General features: G+C 33.9%; 1 protein-coding gene and 1 pseudogene across 4 annotated transcripts in view; both read left to right on the top strand.

The window, feature by feature from the left end:
* Positions 1-22948, top strand: part of LRP1B (LDL receptor related protein 1B) — a 1899594-nt gene that overhangs the window by 1426612 nt on the left and 450034 nt on the right. For all 4 annotated transcript variants that reach the window (NM_018557.3, XM_017004341.2, XM_017004342.1 and 1 more), the window contains 4 exons: positions 1852-1978; positions 2113-2264; positions 2560-2684; positions 3784-4155. In NM_018557.3, coding sequence (NP_061027.2) covers positions 1852-1978; positions 2113-2264; positions 2560-2684; positions 3784-4155 — 776 coding nt within the window. The remainder of the gene's footprint in view (positions 1-1851; positions 1979-2112; positions 2265-2559; positions 2685-3783; positions 4156-22948) is intronic.
* On the top strand, positions 20462-21243 carry COPRSP1 (COPRS pseudogene 1; annotated as a pseudogene).

The following is a 22948-nucleotide window of genomic DNA, read 5'->3' as shown; positions in this document are numbered from 1 at the left end:
TAGCCATACCTCATTTTTGTTTGTCTGTAAAACTCTACAATGTTTATTTTACACAGCATTTTCAAGAAAAATATCAACTATTAAAACAAATTAATATACATAAATAATACATATATTTTTATCTAGTTAAGTATCACTTTGTACTTAAATAACTCCAGTGAGTATAAACAAAATATAAGTCTTTAATTTTTCTGTATGCAGTCTCACTGATTCTTACGTGACTATTCACATATATTATTCAAATATCCTGACGAGGCTGCAGGAAAAAGGGAATGCTTAAACACTGTTGGTGAGGATGTAAATTAGTTCAGCCACTGTGGAAAGCAGTTTGGAGATTTTACAAGGAACTTAAAACAGAGCTACCATTCAAATAATCCCATTACTGGGCATATACCCAAAGGAAAATGCATCATTATACCAAAAAGACACATGCACTCATATGTCCATCACCCTGCTTTTCACAATTGCAAAAACGTAACATAAACCTAGGTGCCCGTCAATAGTAGACTGCAAAAAGAAAATGTACATCTATACTGTGGAATACTTTGAAGCAATGAAAACAGCCCTTTTGCAGCAACATGGCTGGAGCTGGAGGCCATAAACCTAAATGAATTGATGCAGGAACAGAAAAGCAAGCACTGAGTGTTCTCACTTATAAGTGGGAGCTAAGCATTGAGCACACATGAACATGAACATGGGAACAAGAGACACTGTGGACTACTTGGGGATTGGGGGAACTACCCATTAGGTACTATGTTGACTATTTAGGTGCCATATAACTTCTAAGAACTAGAAAAAGATACAATAATTTTTAAAAATTAGGAACTATACACCCAGCTGTTGAATCAATGCTTCCCATATTTTTTAAAACTTTATTCACTGCTGATGTCTGATAGTTGGATAAAAACTTCAGTAGATGTAACTTCAAATTAAGAATTAAGAAGGAATTATATTTATCTAAAAGCATGGATTTCTGTATAGTCCTATGAATATCGAATTTTTTGAATGAATGAGTGAAATACATGGATTATGTACATTCTGTTTTTCTACATTTTATTTTATGACATGTTGTTTTATTTTGGCATACTATATGTGTTCTTTCTGCATGACATTTTCTTTCACATAGTCCCCCATTACATTTTGTTTTATAAGATTACTAAAATAAGAATTTCTGCTTTTGCATAAAACCGTATTTTAAGATGACTTCACAAGATAACATAAAATTCAAACTAGATTAGTTACATTTAGCAGTCTAAGTAGAAAAAATAGAAAGTTATGATGCATTCATGTCTATATTCATAAATTAAATATGTATTTACCACAAAATTTCTAATTACCTGGTGCTAAAGGAGTAATAGTGAATGAAAATAGAGGAGTGATCACTGTCCTTGTTGAGCTTACAGTCTAGTGGGGGCAAAAAATATTTATAATAAATGATAATGTAAGGAAATACAAGTGGAAATTTGCCATTCTAATCTGTGTTGTGAAGCAGAGCACATGGTACAGGGAAGACACAGAAGGCTTCTGGAAAGAAATAGTTGAGATATGAAAAGTAGGAAGTAATTAGGCAAACAGATTGGAGAAGAGCATTTGAGACAGGAAATAGCAGGCACAAAAGGTATTTTGGTAGGATGTTGAGTGCATCCTATGATTTGTATGACTGGTTAACTATTTTTTTACGATAAAAATTATTTTATCGGAACCATAAGCACACTGTATATTAACTTCCGAAATGTATTATTTTTATTCTAGTGTGAATGCTACTGCTGTTATTAGTAATGTCTTTTTGCATAGCTCTGCATACTACAAATAAATGTACATAAACACTACAAATTAACAATTTAATTTCAGCCTCTTGTTCTGGACTGAATGGGGACAAATGCCCTGTATTGGAAAGGCTCGCTTGGATGGCTCAGAGAAGGTTGTCCTTGTAAGCATGGGAATAGCATGGCCGAATGGCATCTCCATCGACTATGAGGTCTGTTGGATTTCTTTTCAGTATTTAAAGTGCCTTAACTGACAACTTTAATTTACCTACTTTTAGTGTTCCTTTATTTTCTTAATAAAACAATCAAATATAGTCTGTAACGTTACTTCTTAATCGATATTTAGGAAAATAAATTGTACTGGTGTGATGCTCGCACAGACAAGATAGAGAGAATCGACCTTGAGACTGGAGGGAATCGCGAGATGGTGCTGTCAGGAAGCAATGTGGATATGTTTTCAGTTGCAGTCTTTGGGGCTTACATCTACTGGTCTGACAGGTAATTTATTTTTTCATAAGTATTTGAGTCTCAAAATGTTATTTCAGTGCCAGTTGCTTTACCCTTGTAGGATTTACCATTTCTTAGCAAGGTCACAAAAAGGAACTCACAAAGCCAGTAATTTCCACAGAAAAGGCAGGTACTCTTGCTATTCCAAGCTGAAGCATTTCAATGTCACAGACTAAAGTTGGTTTCTTTCCCTTCTGTTGGTCCATCTGTTATCTTCAGCTTAAGTAACTGGCTTGACTTTAATTAGTCGAAGATTGTTGATCATGTATGTTCAACTTTTTGGCAGAGCACATGCAAACGGGTCTGTCAGAAGGGGCCACAAGAATGATGCCACAGAAACGATAACCATGAGAACCGGCCTTGGAGTCAACCTGAAGGAGGTTAAAATATTTAACCGAGTAAGAGAGAAAGGTCAGCACTCTTGAAAGAATACATAATATGTATATTTTATGTGATTTCTCTCCAATTTTTAAAAACATTGTCAAACTTAGAAATTCTTCTATAAGTCTAAAACCTCAAAACATTATCTTTACATCTAATTTCCTGCAAGTATCATATAGTAGCCTAATACAATAAATATGTCATATTTCATACAAAAGCGTATTTGCCCAGGACAGCACAGGTACATGGACATGTTACATACCTGGCATGTCTTGATTATAGGTTTTGGCTAAGGAATATAGAAAAACTTGAAACATGTATTGATTGGATAAAAAATTAAAAGCATAAGTAGGATATTAATAAAAGGCAGTTGAAATTTTTATACATAATATGAATCATATTATATAATAAGTGGTTATGATCCCAAAGGTGATGCTGTTAATGTAAAATATTTCCAAAGTCATTACTTCCTTAAAATATTTATTCTAAACTTACAGGACAATGATTTGGGTATTTAAAATTTGTTTACCTCCATTAAAATAAATTGTAACTAACTTTTTTGTATCAAAGGAAGTTATAATAATGTTGGAGATAATAATAATGAATTCACAAAGGAGAATTAGACTGGTGAAGAAATTTTAAGTGCATTTTTTATCTTCACTTAAAATTGGAGTAAGAACTTATGCTCAGCATATTTAGGAGGTTAGGCACATTGTAGCTATAGATTTCTTTGATGCTTTCCATATCTCAAAGATAGAGTTTAAAGCAGTGCATTATTTCTGGTGAGATCAATTCATGTTTTAAATGAACAATATATGAAACACTATAAGTATCAAGTTTCAAAAAAGATTTATATACTTAACTGGTTCATTAAGGGAAAAATTTAATGCTTAACTTGGATGGTGAATGAAACAGACTATGATTTTCCAAATAAAGAAACCCAAGATTTAAACTGCTGTGATTTTTTAAAAAACAATACTTTTTTAATTTTTTATTGACCAGCTTAAAATTAAGAGCAAAAAGAGAATATTCAACATCAAAGTTTTAATATTTCTTTATGGAGAATTTTGTTTCAAAAACAAAAGAAAAACATAAACATGTGCATGTGTGTATCATTTTTCTTCATTAGGGACCAATGTTTGTGCCAGGGACAATGGTGGCTGTAAGCAACTCTGTCTTTATCGAGGAAATTCCCGGAGAACTTGTGCTTGTGCCCATGGATATTTGGCAGAAGATGGAGTTACTTGCCTGAGGCATGAAGGCTATTTACTGTATTCAGGAAGAACAATATTAAAAAGTATACATCTTTCTGATGAAACCAATTTAAATTCCCCAATAAGGCCATATGAGAATCCACGTTATTTCAAGAATGTCATAGCCTTGGCTTTTGACTATAATCAAAGAAGAAAAGGTACCAACCGAATCTTTTACAGTGATGCACACTTTGGAAATATACAGCTTATTAAAGACAACTGGGAAGACAGACAAGTAATTGTTGAAAGTAAGTACAGTAATTCAATTTTAAATAGGTGGAAATGAGTATCATTTAGATTACTAGAGAAATAATAGTGGTAATTGCATGTAGCAATTACATTTTCCTAGATTTTATATTCAGGAATGAATGTGACTATATCATCTAACCCTCACCCCCCACCCCCCCGCCAAATGTCAAAGAAGCAATTAATTGCTAGCATGTACAGCAAATTATGATTATTACCTTCTAATCATGGAAGGTTTAATATGTTTTATCATAATGTTTCTTATAAATAACTGCACTAAAATTCATGAAAAATCATTTTTCAGTGTAAAACTATTCTAATTGATTTTTTTTTTCCAGTGGGCAAATTGTATATTTAAGAATATCTGTTCAGTAATAGTTAATCATAGTTTCTCAAGCAAACATCAGAGATTTTTTTTCTGTATATATGTGTATATATATAAAATATATATATAATATATATTATATATGATATATCATGTATATGTAGCAGATGAGAAAATGTTATGGAAATGATCTAATATTTTTAATGTTTTTATGGGACATAATTATTCAAGCATAGTGTTCAGTGAGGATTATCCACATAATTTAGGGAAACCTTTTTCCTGTCATTCAAGTTTAACAAAAACCATCTTCTTATTCTTCACACAACTTCTCTCTTCTTGATGTCTTTGTGTGATTTCCATATATTTCCCATTCTTCCAGTTTCACTATGTGGAAATCAATTTTTTCTTTGCTTTCTAAATTGCAAAATAATATATAAATTTGTTGTAGAGTGTTCAAATAATATGGATTTGAATATGAAATCCCTGACTCATCTCTGCAACCATCAGTCCTATTTACTTACCCATAACTAACATGTGACATGCCCTAGAATTTTAAGTATGTGTGTGTAATTTTTAATTATAAAAGTGGAATGATACTAAATATATTATTCAGCTAACTGCTTTTTTCATTTACTGTGTATTGCAAAGCTTTTATTTTATTACATGAGGCTTCATCTTACACTTTTGAAAGCCTCTACCTAGTTCTATACTAAAGGTAAGCTAGTTTATTTAATCGTTTTTTAATAAAAATTTAGATTTGAATAACTAAACTATAGCTATCCAAGCCTGTATGTGTGGTGGATATTTTCTAAAGAATGAATACAATGAGTGTGTCACTTCAAGGTAAATTACCTACTGTGTGTGTTGCAAATGGTAAAAACCAAACTCTGAAGTAAAAAAATTAGAGTAGAAGTCTTGTATCCACCACAGTAACCTTGACAGCTTCCCAGTACTTACAGGCTTTTCTGTTGACATGGTGATAATATTAATGCATGTGATTTGGGAGTATTGCATAATAAAATGTGTCAACATTTAGAAGCTATGCATAAGTTAGAGAACCAATATTTTCAAATGACATGATAAAATCATGCATGAGTAAATGATTTATTCAAAGTGCAAGATAGACCAATGAATTTTAATGTAATAGAGGATGAAAAGTTCATCACTATGGTTTCAGATTCCACACTGCAACTAACCTTTAAGTAACCACCACTTGTCACGTGTTGGTGTAATATGAAAGAATACTCAGTTATCTGTAAAGGCTATTATTAAAACGCTCCTCTCTTTTCCAATTACACAACTTCGGGAGGCTGGAAGCTCTTCATATGCTTCAACCAAAACAACACAATGAGAGGATAAAGAGGCAGATAGGAGAATCCAGCTGTCTTTTAGTAAGATGGATATTAAATATATTTGTAACATTGTAAAACAATGATTTCTTGTTATTATTTCTTGTTATTATTTTTGAAGAAATAGTTACTTTTCTTAGAAGGTGCTATTTAGATGAACGCAATTGTTGCATTATTCTAACTTTAAAAACATTGATAAATATTTAAAACAATTTAAGTTTAAATTTCTAATATGGTAAATAGATATAGACATGACCCACATACACAGACTCTGGAGTCTTCAGTAATGATTAAGAGTATAAAGATCCTCAGATCAAAAAGACTGAAAATTACTCTTCTGGGCTAAGCATTCAGAAAATGTTTAGTACAAAGACATGAAAAGCATGGAGTAGACAAGGAGTCATTTGGTATGATTGAAATGCAGGTAGTATGGCATGAATTGATGTGAGATGAAGTAGGGAATGACGTGATGTTGAATGTCTTGGTCTGCCAAAATAAGCAGCTTAAAAAAAAAAACCATTTTATTTAGGTATAGTTTACACATCATACAATGCACCAAAAAGTGTACACTCAATCTTTTTTGGTATATTTCATTATAATTTTTAAAATTGGGGCAAATATACATGTATATCCACATATATAAAATAACATTTGAGATTTTACCCATTTTTAAGTGTACAATTCAGTGGCTTTTATTACATTTCCAGTATTTTGCAGCCATCAACACTATATTTCTAAAACTTTTTCATCACTTCAAATAGAAACTCTGTGTAAGGCAATATCTCCCCATTTCCCCCTTTCCCTGGCCCTTGGTAATGGATATTTTCTGTCTCTATGAATTTTCTAATTCTAGATATTTCATATAAGTGGAATCATCATGTATTTGTCCTTTGCGCCTGGCTTGTTTCACTTAGCATAGTGTTTTCAAGGTGCATCCATGATATAGCATATATTGGAACTTCATTCTTTTTATGGCTGAATAATATTTCACTGTATGTACATACCACATATTTTTATCCAGTCATTTGTTTAAGGACACTTGGGTTGTTTCTACAATTGGCTATTATGATTAATGCTGCAATGAACATTGGTGTACAAATATCCAAGATAAGATGATGAAAAAAACGAGAGTGTTGTAATGCTAATACATATATATGTATATATATATTCATATAATAGAGTATTAAAAGTAGGATTTATATTTCATGAGATCACTCAGTGTTATGTTTAGGTCTGATGAACTGTAAGGGTTGTGAGTGCCGTGTCTGAAGGCAAAGATGCCCTAGGAGGTTTTGTCATATTTTAGATCCTGTTTCAACCGTAGTAAATTAAACTGAAAACATTTTAATTAAAGTATACATACAATCAAATCACTCTAATTCTGTCATCCAAAATCAAAGCCAGTAGAATCCATGACACTTTACTGACTGTAGGGAAGTGTTGAAACATATGTAGGGAAGTGAAACATGATGGCCAAGAGTTTGAAACATCGGTCGAGCCCAGGGTTCAAATCACAGTTTGCTGTTTGTTTCCTCTGTACTTCTATGTGTTTATTTCCTTACCTACAAAATGGAAAATCAACCCATACATTTTCTATGAAAATTTTATGAGAAAGTGTATCTAAAGAATATATAAATAAGCATGATTTTAATATAAAATTATTGTACTGTATTTGTGACACATTTGTGGATCATTTAGGACAGTGGTCCTCAACCTTTTGAACAACAAGAACTGGTTTGATGGAAGATAATTTTTTCATGGACGAAGGCAGGGGATGGTTTTGGGATGAAACTGTTCCACCTCAGATCATCAGGTAATAGTTAGATTCTCAAAAGGAGCACACAATCTGGATCCCTCATAATAGGGTTTGCGCTCGTATGAAACTCTAATGCCATTGCTGATCTGACAGCAGGTGGAGCTCACATGATAATGCTGAGTCACCTGCTGCTCACCTCCTGCTATTCCTCCTGGCTCCTAACAAGCCATGGACCAGTACTCATCTGTGGTCCAGGGGTTGGCAACCTCTGATTGAGGACAATGATTTTTGTCTTAAATTATTTTTAGCATATGAATTAGAGTAGTTAGACAATCAGAAATAATTACAATAATTATAGATATAAAGTAGTGCATTAAGGTCTGACTAAAACTTAAAAAATATAATTAGTCTGTATTGATAGTTTATACGAATCTTTCTGAATATCCTCCCTACCACACCCCACCTCCTGCCAAGAAGTTGCCCTTTGCTTAACCATTGCAATCCTCTCTGAAAGCTTTTTAGGTGAATGTATAGTTTAACTTGCCAGACCAAAAAAGAAAACAGACAAAACAAATCAAAACTAAAACCCTCAAAACACCCAGTTATTGGCACATATAAATAAATATAAGTAAGATGTAAAATGTGTTTCCATCTAGGTATTCCATTTTATTAAATCTGAAAAACTATATGTTCTTTTGTTATATCTCTAACTTGTTACCCAAAATTATTTTCATGTTTTTAAGTATTCATGTTTTAAGTATTTAACTAGATTCATATTTTTAGGTGTTAAAAATATCAGAGAGTTCTAAATTTCACTATCAGATTCAGACTTTGATCCTTCATATAGCTGAATATAAGAAATGGATGGGATAAAGGCTTTCTTCTTTAACTTCCCAATTCACATAGAATGAACATTTTGGCCTCAGGTTTAAAAGATGACAATAGCCATAAAATACAATTCAATATTTATTAAGTGCTTACAGTGTGCCATAGATTATTAGGTATGAGCGAATAAGGATGAAAATGTCTTCCTTCTACCCTTTGGAAGTTCACAGTATAAAAAGAGGAAAATGCAGTAGTTCACTTTTCCTATGAAGAATCAAGATACCTGGTGAAGACACTGTTAAAAGTCTACACTTTTAGGCCATTTCTGACTTTAAAACCACAGTAACGATTTATAAAATATATTTAAAATGAAAATTAGAGATAGCTAATCTCAAAAAGCAAGATAGACTTTTCTTTGAGTGATAAACAGAACAGAAATACAAAGCAGAGAAAATGACTGAAACAGAATTCTGAGATTCCAGGCTACATAGATGCTACAGAGAGACAGCATCTAAAAAGAATTTACTTAATCCAAGGACTGGGGAATACTGCCCCACAGGGAAGCAAGCCTGAAATAAAGCTGTGCCATCTACTGTTAGGCCAATGACTTGTAGGAAGTGACTAACCCTAGAAGCTTAGAGGCCACAGAAACTGCCTTATGACCAGCTCTGATGCAAGTCCATTGCAAGTTATTGACTCTACAAGCTCTCATATGCTCTGTGGAGCAAAAACTCAAATGAATTATGAAAGAGAGGGCTGCAGTTTAAGACGCAGAGGCTCAATGAAGTCCACTCTAAAACCACCCAGTAGAGAGAAGTGAGTACTAAAAGAGAGGTTAAAAAATAACCCCTTTAGGATGCTCAAATTCAATTTCCACAACACATGGATTCTTAAGAAAGACAGCTTAAAAAACCCCACCAAGCAGAAGATGAATGAAAATGAAAATGATAGGAGAATCTGAAGAATATTTACTTGGGGTTCATCAAAGAAGCAAAGAAAAAAAAAGTATGAAAAGAACAAGAAATAGGGACATCCAGGAGGCCAAATATACATATGTAAGAAAAAAATTTGTTAAAATTAAAACAATTGAATATCTTGGAAATAAAAAAATATGATCACTATAATTAAAATTAAAAAGTAATCTTTATTGATAAAATAAAAATTATATTGTACTAGTGAAAGTGATAATGCATAAATAAGATGCTAATTCATTAATAAGAAATTAATTAATGTTAGAGGCAGTAAGATACAAAAAACATGAGAACACTTGTGAAACTTGGAGGATAAACTAATAGATTTAATAGTCTTTTAGCTAATAAATGTTGACAAATGGCAAAGAAGAGACAGATGATAGAAAAGTAATACTCAAAGTGATAATGACACAGAGTTTACTAGAAATGAAGAAAGAAATGTCTCTAGATGGGAAATTTGCTGTAAGCGTTAAGAATAATTAAATTAAGTCAGCAATTGAAGTAAAACTGCAGAAGATCATGAAAAAGGGAAAATCTTAAGATGCTACCAGAAGTAGTAGACACTATCTGCAGAAGGAAGACAATGGTATTTAAACAGACTTCTCATCAGCAACAAGAGTAAAATCTTCAGACTACTAAGGAAATACATAATTCTATAACTGAATTATTAAAGATGGAGGGAAATAACATTTGTTTTAGGAATATAAAGTCAGTAACAATATATCTATGTATTCCCACTAATTAAAAAAATATAAAGTAATGGCGTAAGGAACTTAACAGCTTCAAACTTAAACTAGTGTCCTTAAATGCCTGTAATCTAAGTTAACAAATTTCACATTTTACACTGTAGCTAAGTATATATGTTTCTGTTTTACCAAAGAATATGCTTATTTAGTGGGATGCATTCTGATGTTTTGTTTTAACTAAACATAGCATATTTTTTAAAAAAAGCAAATATTGCTTAATATAAATTCAAATGGTGTCCCTACATCCAATGACTAATCGAGAAATGTGATTAGGCCTGGAGCGGTGGCTCATGCCTGTAATCCCGGCACTCTGGGGAGCTGAGGTGGGTGGATCACTTGAGGCCAGGAGTTCGAGACTAGCCTGGCCAAAATGGCAAAACCCTGTCTTTACTAAAAATACAAAAATTAGCTGGGCATGTTGTCGTATGCCTGCAATTCCAGCTACTCAGGAGGCTGAGATATGAGAATCAGTTGAACCTAGGAGGCAGAGGTTGCAGTGAGCCAAGATTGCACCACCATACTCCAGCCTGGGTGACAGAGTGTGACTCTCCACGCCCCCCCGCCACCCACCCCAAAAAAAGTAATGTGATCTTAAAAAAGCTATTCTTAAGCTAGTAATAACAACAAAGTATTCACAAAACATTAACATAGAAAATTTTAAAATGTTTATGAAGGACATAAAAGATAATCTTAAAGGGGGAGAGTGTTACTTTCATGATGCAAAAAGTCAATTTCCATAGCCATGGAAAATTATCCCAAATTATCTGTAAATTTAATGCAATTCAAAATGCCAAAATGTCTCAGTGTGGTGGCACACACCTGTTGTTCTAGATCCTTCGAAGGCTGAGGTGGGAGGATCTCTTGAGTCCAGGGTTTTGAGGCCATAGTGAGCTATGATTGCACCACTGCACTCTAGCCTGGGTGACAGAGTGAGACCCTGTTTCTAAAAACAAACAAAAAGCAGCCAAAATGATATTTTAATGAAACTGCACATGTTGATAGTAGAATTCACATAGAAGAGCAAAATATCACCAATTGCCAAGGCAATTTTAAAGAAATATAAATTTGTAGTCTCTCCTTGACACAATTGTCTTTATTATTAAAAAGTGAAAGTAATTAACACAATATGATATTACCAATAAAAAACAATTAAATGAAAAAGAACAGAGGGCTCAGAGGCAGATCCATATTTATATATAACTTTTATGTAAATTGATTATACATTGCCTAGTTAGCATTACAAATAAATTGAAAAATAATGAATTTAATGAATTATACTAGAACAATTTATATGCAAAAAATGAAACAAAATGTTATCTCCAACTCAAACTATATTCAAAAATTCAAGTATTTTAATGGTGCAAATATGATGAGCTTTTTAATATCAAAGAATACAGAATATCTTTATAAACTCAGGGTAAGAACAGATTTCACAAATGATACACAAAAATCAGGAAGTATAAGTTTAGTATATTTTATCTCATTGAAATTAAAAACTCTTTGCAGCAGAAGCTATGTAGAAATTTAAAAGACAAAACAAAACACTAGTGGTGTATAGTTGCAATCCTTAAAACCAACAAAGGATTACAACTGAAGTTTATAACATACCATTACAGAGATGAAGATAAATATGGACAAGTTATGCTAGGGGACAGAAAAGGAAATATAATCATACTAAAGTATAGTCAATCTCTCCAACTATTAAGAAAATTTATAATGAAACAGTGAGATTTTTCCACCCATAATTTGTGAAAAGTTTTTAAAAGTTTTGTAATGAGAAAAAACCAGACTTTCACACACAATTGATGAAAATTACAATTTTGTACAACTACTCTGAAGAGCTATTTGTAACATTTTGAAATTTTGAAATGGTTCATATACTTTCACCTAGCAATTCACACTTTTAGAGAGAATAATGGTTCATTGTGCAGTACTTAAAAAAAGAACTAGTGCTACATCTATTTACATAGTTATCTTAAACACAATTTGATTAAAACAAATAATACAACACAATAAAAATATTCTCAAATGATATGGTTGATGTGATATTGAAAACTATGTAAACAATACAACATATTGTTTTTGAAATAACATAGTAATATTTTCAAATTTTAGCAATTTTTTGATAATTATATAATCATTACGTGAGGCGTTTTCATTAGAAACAGAAGGCAACTCCCTGTACTAATTTTTGAAACTTTTCTGTAAGCCTAAAATTAGTTCAAAATTTAAAAATTAAGCACATTAAAAATCATACACCATCAACATCTTGCTTTCTCTGGAGAGATAAAAGAAAAAAAGAAATGGTATTGAGAGAACTATATACTTTCAACAATAGCTATAATAAGATTGTTCTTAATAATATGAAGCATTTATAGCAAAATGGTAAGGTTTCTCAAGTCATATTCTCTCTACTATTCTATACATCTAAAACATTTAATAAAGTATAAATAAATAACTTTCAAAATAATCACTTTTCAATATTAACATAGATACCATTAGTAAATTAATTGGTCAAATCTCATACATATGCATGTTTGGAATTTAATTGCATTAGCAACCATGTTGAATGACATGATAGGTGCCTGCTATCTGCCCTTCTTTTCTCTTTATATTTATAGACATTGACTTTTGTTTAATCTCCAGCTTGATACTGTCAACAAATTGCAATGAGATATAATTCCCACATTTGTGATTAGGATTCAAACTTGTGAATAATAGCTTTATAATATTTTTAGATTGCTTTTTCAAGACTCCTGATAGCAATACTTCACTTTTTTTTTTTTTTTTTGAGGTGGAGTTTTTGCTCTCGTTGCCCAGGCTGGATTGCAATCCAGCCTGGATTGCATGATGTTGGCTTGGCTAACCACAACCTCCGCCTTCCAGGTTCAAGTGATTCTCCTGCCTCAGCCTTCCAAGTAGCTGGGATTATAGGCATGTGCCTCCACGCCTGACTAATTTTGTATTTTTAGTAGAGACGGGGTTTCTCCATGTTGGTCAGGCTGGTCTTGAACTCCCAACCTCAGGTGATCCACTCGCCTTGGCCTCCCAAAGTGCTAGTATTACAGGCGTGAGCCACCGCGCCCTGCCAATATTTCACTTTTAAGTTATATTTCACTGGAAATATGTTTCTCTCTTCTGTTAAAAGGGCTATGTGCTTATTGTTTAGGAGTGTTTCAAAACACATTTGATTTTGTTAATTGTTCTTTTTTTGTCTTAAAAAGGCTAAAAAATCAACTTTTAGAATGCATATAGTTTTAATTTGATCATAGAATACAGACATTCGTTCTCAAAATGTAAAAATTTTAGCTTTTCAAGTTTCAGTTTTCATAAAACTGAAAAGGATACTTTTAGTCATCTACATTTATTAGCTAAATCAATTTTAAGATTACCTATTTAGATAATTACAACTACTGGAAAGGTCTAATGGAGCATTGTTTTATTAGGTACTGAAGTTGCTAAGATAGGAAAAGGGTAAAAATAAAAGATGAAGTTGTCCATAGGGAGTTAGCAAGATGGGAAGCATAGGTTAATTTTTATGGTCCAAAGGAAGAGAAAGGGTTACATGGTCATTGATTATGGAGAGTAGAACCTGGAGTCAGTCATGATTAGTGAAAAGGAAAAAAAATATGAAATCTCCTCTTCATTTTGTTGCAAGCTATAAATTAGTTTCAGTCTGGCTTCCATGAATTCAAAATTTCCTGAGTCTATCTCAAAAGATGTCCTGTGGTAGATGTAGGGGAAGAAAAATCATTTCTTCTATTCTCTTAGCTTCTGTGGCTGAGATCTGTGAATTAAACTGACAAAAGAAAGGTTAATAAGAGAAAAAGCATATGAATTTTCTTTGATGTTAATCTTTGCATGTACAAGGAGCCATTCATTGAAAAAAAAAAGTAAAGACCTGAAGTAAAGACCCGAAGAAGAGGTTAGACCCGGAAGAGTGATATGCCCTTTTAACAAAGCATGAGAAATTGTGGAGACCTTACTAGACAAAGGAAAGGGGTTGGAGATTGTACAGGCTGTAAATTATGGGAAGATAAATGCATGCTGTAAATTAATGGAAGATAATGGTTATTTTGTAAGGTTTTGTTTGTGTGGATTCTTCTCGGTGCTTTCTTCTTCTCTGGTGATAAAGGTTTTTTTTTCAGGTCTGAGAGAGGGGGACACCTTTAAGAAGGGAAATTTATGCTCTGATATTCTTTAGATGGATGAGCTTTTCCTGTGTCTATTGTTTCTCAATTGCTTTCAACTCAGAATAATCCTATGTCAATGATGTATATTTTGGGATGGAAAGTTTTATATTGAGAATTAAAACCATAACAAGACATAAAGCTGAAAAGTTTTCTGCATAGGTGTTCAGGCTTGGGAGACTGCCCCAGTACATCATGTTAGAAATTCTAACAAGGTTTCTGTTTGCAGAATCAGAAAGTCCTGAGTTATATCCGTGTGAAAGAGAGTTATAGCCAATCTTTGTTATAAAACTTGAACTTTACTAGAAACCTGTGGTTGGCTCTGGAATTATTATAGTTAGTGAGGCTGATTAGGAATGGATAGAAGGATGAACAGAAGGAGAACTGGAAAACTGACACATCCATCACAAGATAGAGATGCTGGGTGGACTTGGGAATAGTGATTCATATATGAATTAGCGTCCCAATATTAGATCACTGCCAAGTAAGCTCTGTATAGGTGAAGGAGGCTGGGGATACTGAGGTTCCTAATTCTTGACCAGAGTTATTTCTGTTGTTAAAAGAAAAACTTCACCCAAGTTAATTTTAAGGGAGTTTAATTGAGCAATGAACGATTCACAAATTGGGCAGCCCCCAGAATCACAGCAGATTCAAAGAGACTCCAGTGCAGCCACGTGGTGGAAGAACATTTATAGACAAAAAAAGGGAAATGACATGCAGAAATTGGAAGTGAGGTACAGAATAGCTGGACTGGTTACAGATTGGCATTTGCCTTATTTGAACACAGTTTGAACACTCAGCAGTGTATGGATGTTTGAAATATGGCCACTGGGATTGGACAAGACTCAGCTATTGTTATAGGTGCATACTCCTAAATTAGGTTTTCAATCTTCTCTACCTATGAAGTTAGGTTGCAGTTCGTCTACAGGGACTCATATATAGAATATGAAGTTCTTCTCAGGCCATATTTAGTTTGCTTTAACACTGTACTGAATGCCATTTTAAATTTAATTAAATATGTTTTATTTTAATTCATAGTCTAGGACTTCAAAGATTAGATGATATCAATTAACTTTGGTTACAAAACAAACCATTCCAGAATTCAGTGACTTAAAACAACTGCTTATTTATTCTACTATTTGTGGGCTGACTATGTAGCTCTTCTCATCTGTGTTAGCTCTTCAAATTTCTGTAACCAGCTGGTGGGTCAGATGGTGCTGGATGATCAAGATGGCCTCTCTCATATGCCTGGCAGTTGGCAGACTATATGCTGAGTAACCAGGCCACAAGTCTGTAATTATCCAGTAGGATGCCTTGAGATGGTCTCAGGGTTCCACATGAGAACTGGCTCAATATGTGAAGATATTTTATAAGTCTCTGCTTGCACAGCAACTGCTAATGTCTCACTGGCAAGTCACATGACCAAGTTCAGATTCAAGGATAGAGAAACAGACTCACTTACTGATTGGGAAGAGCTGAAAATGGGCTGCAAACATATATGGAGGGGAAGAATGTGTACCTTCTGCAATCCATGCAGTGGATAGGTTATTATCCTATTTCCAGAAGCTCCTAAATAATACATTAAACTATGGCCTCACTTTGTAAAACTCATTTTCTTTTTTTTGTTTTATCTGTTATATTCCTTGAAAACCAATAGTAGATTATGATAATCACATGTGGTTTATCCATGAGCTATAAATCAATCTATATGTGATGGTGAAGAGATAAAATGAGATGGGAAAGGATTATTTAATAGGGAAAAGAAATAACAAAACTATAAAGGGGTCAATAGATTTAATGACATTGGGTTGATTCTGTTACCTTCAAGAGTATAAGTGTTTACATGTGTAGCTCAAATAATGCTGATTTTTTTTTCTCACAAGTGTGTCATAATTAGTTGCTATGAAGCCACTTTAAATAACCCCATGTTTCTGTGTAAAAAAACAATTGGCTGATTTTTTTTTTATAGTTTTGACTTGAATGAGGTAAGTTGTAAGTGACAACTAAGGGAAAACAATCCATGATGTAGGATTAGAAGCAGCATTTTTCATAGGAAGTAATAAAAGACAGTGTACATATTATAACTTTCCTTGTGAGAGATTTATGGCAGGAAGTGAGCAGATGAAATCAATATACTGTGAATTATAAATAGATCTTTGAGGGGCTGGGTGATGAATTCAAAATTTCTAAGAAAACAGTAGATCACCTGTGGAAATGAGCAAGGGCACAAGTGAATTCAGGGTTCCCCTTGAAAGATGATTATAATTTGCAGGAGTGAAGTTTCCTGTTATTGTTTGAAAAAGCAAAATATTTCAATTTTATATACCTACTAAAAGGTATATGAAAGTCTTGGGTTTTTAGACTTATATGCAAGAATAAACAAGCTTTACCAGAAATAAAGAAGTTTTATTTACATATTCAACCTACTATTGTGAGCTTTTCAGGATATCTGGTTAAAAATACTGAGAGAGAGAGAGAAAGAGTATATTAAAAGAACTTGTACTAAAAAAAAAATCATGTGGATATCAGTTTCTCAGGACAGAAATCCATTTACAGATTTTTTTCTTAGTTGAGTTTTAATTACATAACTTTAAGAGGGACATAATTAAAGATGAGATTATATGCCAAATCTTTTCCCAGTTAGCCTTATTTGCAACGCCTAGGATAGCATACTATGTGGCTTAGATTGTCATTCTTGCCATATTCAATTGAATACTTTTAGCTGTCTAAACCTTATTAACTTTTTAAGATTTTTATAAAGTAGAATTTACAATGTATAGTCCTGTACTTCACTGATATGTAAAAGCATGTCAGGGACATGTAGAGAAACCTGTGTTACCCATTCCCTCCTGTAACTACATCCCATGATTCCTTTCCATTTCCTTGGGCAATTTAAGCCCAATGGTCTTCCTTCTACTTTTCCTCTTCTCTCAGAAATCTTTCCGGATGACTTTGGATCTCATCACTCTATGTCACTGCTCTACCCAACGTCCTTGAACTTAGTGTTCCTTCTATTTGAGCAAAATCTGTTTACATCACATCTGGCCTACTCTATCATATCAGTTAGTCTCCTTTTTTCTTTACCTGCATCCTGTAATCATTATTCTGCATTTCTCACAACATACTTCATTTAATTCTGTGATGACCACATTCCATTTTTTTTAATACCAAACTTGGACCAAAAGATAAGGCATTTAGTGCTGTTCCTACCACTTTCCTATACTATAAAATGTTACCTTCTATATTTCCTGTTTCTGACTCTACATATGCTGTTCCCATAGAAACTTCCTTCCTATCGATGGACATATTTTCCTTCTTAGAGAGCTCAATCATTATAATGATTTATACTGAGACCCTCATTATTTATTATGTCACCAAGTCCACATTTCCTAATTTACCTCATCACAAATGGACCAGTGTCCATTTATGAAACATTCCTGTTGTATGTAAATGCCAACTCACAATTTACATACTGAAGTCATTTTCCCACCTCAAATTGGAACCCCTCCTATTTTCATCAATAAAAGTATTACTTTTCTTCCCAGTCAGGATCCAACCTCACTATTATTATTTTATAATAATGATTATTATTTTAAATTTTTATTTTCACTCTCCCTTCTCCTGTATCCCCTGAGCCATTTATTCACTAACTACTTTTCTTATCAATCTTCACCATTATAGGCCAGGTTTTCATTCATTTATTACTGAATGATTGCTAGCCTTCTATTTGCTTTCCCTGCCTTGAGTTTCTGGAGTTTTCTATATATCATGAACAACACTTAATTGAGTTAGTTCCTAAAACACTGATTTATATTTTCTGCATCTCAAATTGTAAAGCATTTACCTCCTCTCCAGATTTTATGTGATGTCCAACTAGTTAATCCATCTCACCACAAATCTCCCTACTACCTTAAATCCACCCTGTCCTCTAGTCCTACTCACATCCTTTTTATCTTAAAAACATGTTCTTTCTTAACCACATGTTTACTCCTGTAACTAATCTAGAATGGAAAGGACTTTATGGCCTTCCCAGTGGTCTATATTTTGGAGCATCTATAAAATTTAGTTCAAATCCCTTCACACCATGAAGTTCAGTCTTTTTTGCGCTGCAGCCCACAGTGATTTCCCTCTTTTAAAACCGTTCAGAACTTGTCATGTGTGCTGAATATCTTTATCACTTCCTTATTTGCTGCCTACTACATGCTTGCCTTTTGTTTTATTTTTATCTATAAGATCTCCCCAAAGATATGTTAAGTGGTTCTAGACAGGATCCATTGGATATAGTCTTTTCTGCACCTCTTCTAATCAAAAATAGAAGTTGTTGCTTAGTAGATAATTTTAAAAAGTGATTTTATTATGAATTCACTATGTGTCAGCTATATAATTAAGTTTTAGGGGACTTGTCTGAAAGCTTCATTTGCAGAGTAAAAGCAATTCTTTGACTGATATTGTTTGTTTGGTTGAACAGAACTGTTCGTCAGGGAAGGGAATATGAACCTCTATGTGAAAGTTTTAACTACAGAATATTGGTTAAAAGCAAAGATTGTAGATTCAGGATGTTTATCTAGATTGAACCCAGCCTGTCTTCTCCTGTTCACCAGTTACAAGCTGTGTCTTTAGGCAAATTATTCAACTTCTCCTTGCCTCAGTTTTCCCTTTTAGAAATAAGGATTATGTTAATAGCAAAATTAGAAGCATGATAAGACTCAACAAGTTAATAAATGCTGGTTGGAACAAGGCCTAGGACTTAGTAATAAATTGGCACAAACAATTTTGAGTCTTTATCTTTATTTCTCTTTACTGATCCATTTTCTGAAAACTATTCATAACTATAAATTAATAGAATCTAGCCAGCATGTAAAATGACAACCATAGCATACATATATTTTGAAGAACAGGTGTACTTGCTTTCTTCAAACTTTCAAATACTGTGAATGAAGAAAGTAGAGGGTCCCTCTCCTTAGGGAAATGAGAAGGAGTTAGGATTCCAGAGTTCTCCACTCATCTCACAGTGTTTTTTGAATATTTGCACATGACTGATACATGCTATGGACACTATAGGAGATTTTTTAAAATTACATGACAGAAGGGATGCATGCTTTAACAATAGAATATGCATGTATGAGTAGCAAAAATAAGGGGGTAGAGATGAAAAGACAATAGAAAGGGATGTAATCAAGATGACAGAATATGTTCCTATTGTTAGAAGCATTTGATTTTCCAAAGATCCAAACACTTCTCTGTCTCCAACCCCTCGCATCTTGGGCCCAGATTATAATTTACCTTAGCTAGCATGCCATTATAGAGACAATCAGAGCCTAAAAACTAAAAATATAAAAAGGGATGTTGGTAAATAAGTATGCATTAGAAATACAAGAATGTCTATATCATGTAATAAAGCACATTTTAATGTTTCTTTTGCCTCATCCCTTTTCAGCCTTCAGAATAATAGAAATGTATATGAGTATGTGTAGAATGATAGCTAAAAACAAAATGTATCTGTAATCTATGAATATCTGAAAATGGCAAAAACTTCTCTATTTTTGTTTTATTCACAAAACTGGGATTCGGATGGGCTAGACGTTGTAAGATGAACTGGCAAGGCAGGTTATTTGATGGTGTCCTGCATGCTTAGGGTGACAGGATTGCTTAGGCCTGGAACAGCAAGTGTCTGTGAAAATGCCTCTTGGTTGTACCTATTAGTCTGATAAATAATACAGACAAATTAGATTAATTTAGTCACCATTCGAAAGACATCTACATTAACCATCTTTTTCTGCCAGCATTAGAGAACAGAGTTCAATGAGAAGATGAACATTGATTTCAAAATTAGTAAAAAAGAAACATAATTTTTTAAGTAATTTTTCACCCAGATGGCATGAGCCATGCATTTGTACATAGAAGCCATATTCAGTAATTGATTAAATACCTCTCATGTAGCATGAGACATTTACTTATAACCTATTTTATAGATTCCGTCATTTTTTTCTCACTCTCTGATTTATCCTCATTGGTATTATTAAAATATATATTCAGAATGAAAGGGAGAAAATTTGAAAAGTAGCAACATTTTAGACTGATATTGGTATGTATTCGGTTGGTGCAAAAGTAACTGCGGGCTTTGCCATTGAAAGTAAAGGCGCGTCACGTAGCCCACAACATCCAGGGGGGCAAGCCGCGGGCAGCCCGGCATGGACCCCTCAGTCTGCCAGGGCCCAGGCGCAGGGGGCCGCGGAGCTGTTTCGGGGTCGGCTGCTGCCTAGCGCATGGAAGGCATCCCCTAGCCCGGAGGCTGGCTTTGCTACAGCTGACCACTCCTGTCAGGAGAGAGAGACTGAGAAGGCTATGGATCGACTAGCCCGGGGAGCACAGAGTGTCTCTAATGACAGTCCAGCCCGGAGTGAAGGCACCCATTCTGAAGATTTGCTGTAAATGCGGAGGACTCGGATGGAATACCTGGGAGCTGAGAGAAGGGACAAACTGTCCACCCAAGGAACAGCCTGGCAATCTTTTTAATGAAGACTGGGACTTGGAGTTGAAAGCAGATCAAGGAAATCCATATGATGCTGACGACATCCAGGGGAGCGTTTCTCAAGATCTCAAACCTTGGGTCAGCTGTGCCCCAAAAGGAGACATGATCTATGACCCCAGGTGGCACTATCCACCTCAACTGATAACCCATTATTCCAAGATGGTCTTTGAAACAGGATAGTTTGATGATGCTGAAGATTGTGTGTGGAGTTTTCTGCCTTGTAGGTGGTTGGGCCTCCAGGTCAAGATCTCTTTTCCTTTGAAGGTGAAAAGTCATATCTGAGAAAACATTCCCAGTGATCCCTCATCTGGGATACACAGACCAGTGTTCAATAACCCTCCTATTGTTCTCCCCAGTCTGCTGTTCTTAATGGGATCCTCCTTGGAATGCGTGTGTTCTTTGTAAATTAAGGTTTAAAAAAAAGGAGAAAGAAAAAGAAAGTAATGTCAAAGCCCGCAATTACTTTTGCATCAGCGTAGTCTGCCATTCTGAATAGGTATTAATGACAAAAGATTTATTTATTTAAACTGCAGGAAGTGTAAAGCAAGGACTGTTTTCTACACGTACTCTAATGAAGGGTTTTCTTTCTGTGTAATTTGCATATATGAGCTACTCAGATTCAGATATAAGGAAGAATCAGGCTCATATTTTCTGAAATGTATATCTGAAGTAAACATTCTAAATCAGATTTATTACGTATCTACTCTGCTAAACAATTGCAGTGTATTGGTTGGGCCATTCTGTCTCTTGTCTCAGGTTAAACATTGAGTGTACTGTTTCCTTGCTTATATTTCACTTGGTTCACATGCTATATACTTCAGGTTCAGTTTAGCTCTTTCTTTCACCTACAAGGTGCACGCACACACACACACACACACACACGCAATACTCTCAAGCTAGAGAAAAGTGTGTCTTCCAGTTCCCACAAATGATTTGCACCTAACCTTATTACAATATTGTTATTTTTCTTTTATTTTTTTATTCCCTAATAGCTTCTCTGCTGTATAAGCACAGAAACTGTGCCTTGCTCATCAGTATACCTGCAGCCCAGCCCAAGGCAAGTGTCCAGGACACTCTGTTGACTATTGTTCCAAATGCCTTTGGGACAGTCTGACCCTGGCCACAGAGTTCCTGGGACTTAATAAGTAATCAATGCATATTCATCAAAGGAAGGAATCATATGCTCTCTGAAAGTTGAGATTCTTGATCTCATGGAATGTACAAAGTAGGAGAGAAAATCTTAGCAGCAGAAATAACCACAAGTTAGTGTGATACCAGTGTGGTACGAATATAGACAGAATTATACAGCACACATAGTAAAGTGAAGTCTCCTCCAGCAGGGATGATGAAAGAAGCCTCACAGAGTAGATGGTCCTAAATGCCCATTCTGTCGCATTATAATGAGCTCTGACAAATAACCATAAGGATGAAACACGTAACTGTTTTACAGTTGTTAATATTTTAAGGTTATTAATATTTTCTGAAAATAATATTAAGACAACAAACATGCATCTTACATAAAAATCATCTGATGACAAATATGTTCTTAAAATAGAAGAGACTTCAGAATGTGGCATATAGTTACATCCACACATGCCTTTCTTGTTTCTCCCATTCATGAAATTTCTTAGGCATAGCACATGAATCTCATCTATATGACTGTTTACTTTACTTGGTGAGTGCACAGGAAGTACTCCTTTTTTTCTTTAGTGTTGAGTTCCATGAAAAAATAATTTATTTGGTAGTAAAGATAGAAACGTGATTTGAATCATCCCAACAAAAGATGAGCTTTGCTTAAACTTAGTGTTTTTAATATCTATGATAGAGGAGAAAGAATCCCAATTAGTTGCCAAGTAGTATAATATTTTTGCACAAAATACCATTGAAATCTGAAATTATTACCTCCCTATAGTCTTTTTTTCGTTAAATTATCATTTTTATTCTTATTTAATTCAATTTGCCAAATATTCATTTAGTATCTACCAAGAACAGTGTCAGCTTAGTCTCATTTAAGACAAATATTAAAAGCGCTATCATTTTATAAGTAATAGTATTCCTTGCACTCATCTCTTTAACAGAAGTACTCTGCATCAGGTTTAGA

Source organism: Homo sapiens, chromosome 2 (assembly GCF_000001405.40).
Source record: "Homo sapiens chromosome 2, GRCh38.p14 Primary Assembly".
Lineage (NCBI taxonomy): Eukaryota > Metazoa > Chordata > Mammalia > Primates > Hominidae > Homo > Homo sapiens.
Note: the sequence above shows the minus strand (reverse complement) of the source record. Positions and strands in the feature narration are given on the sequence as shown.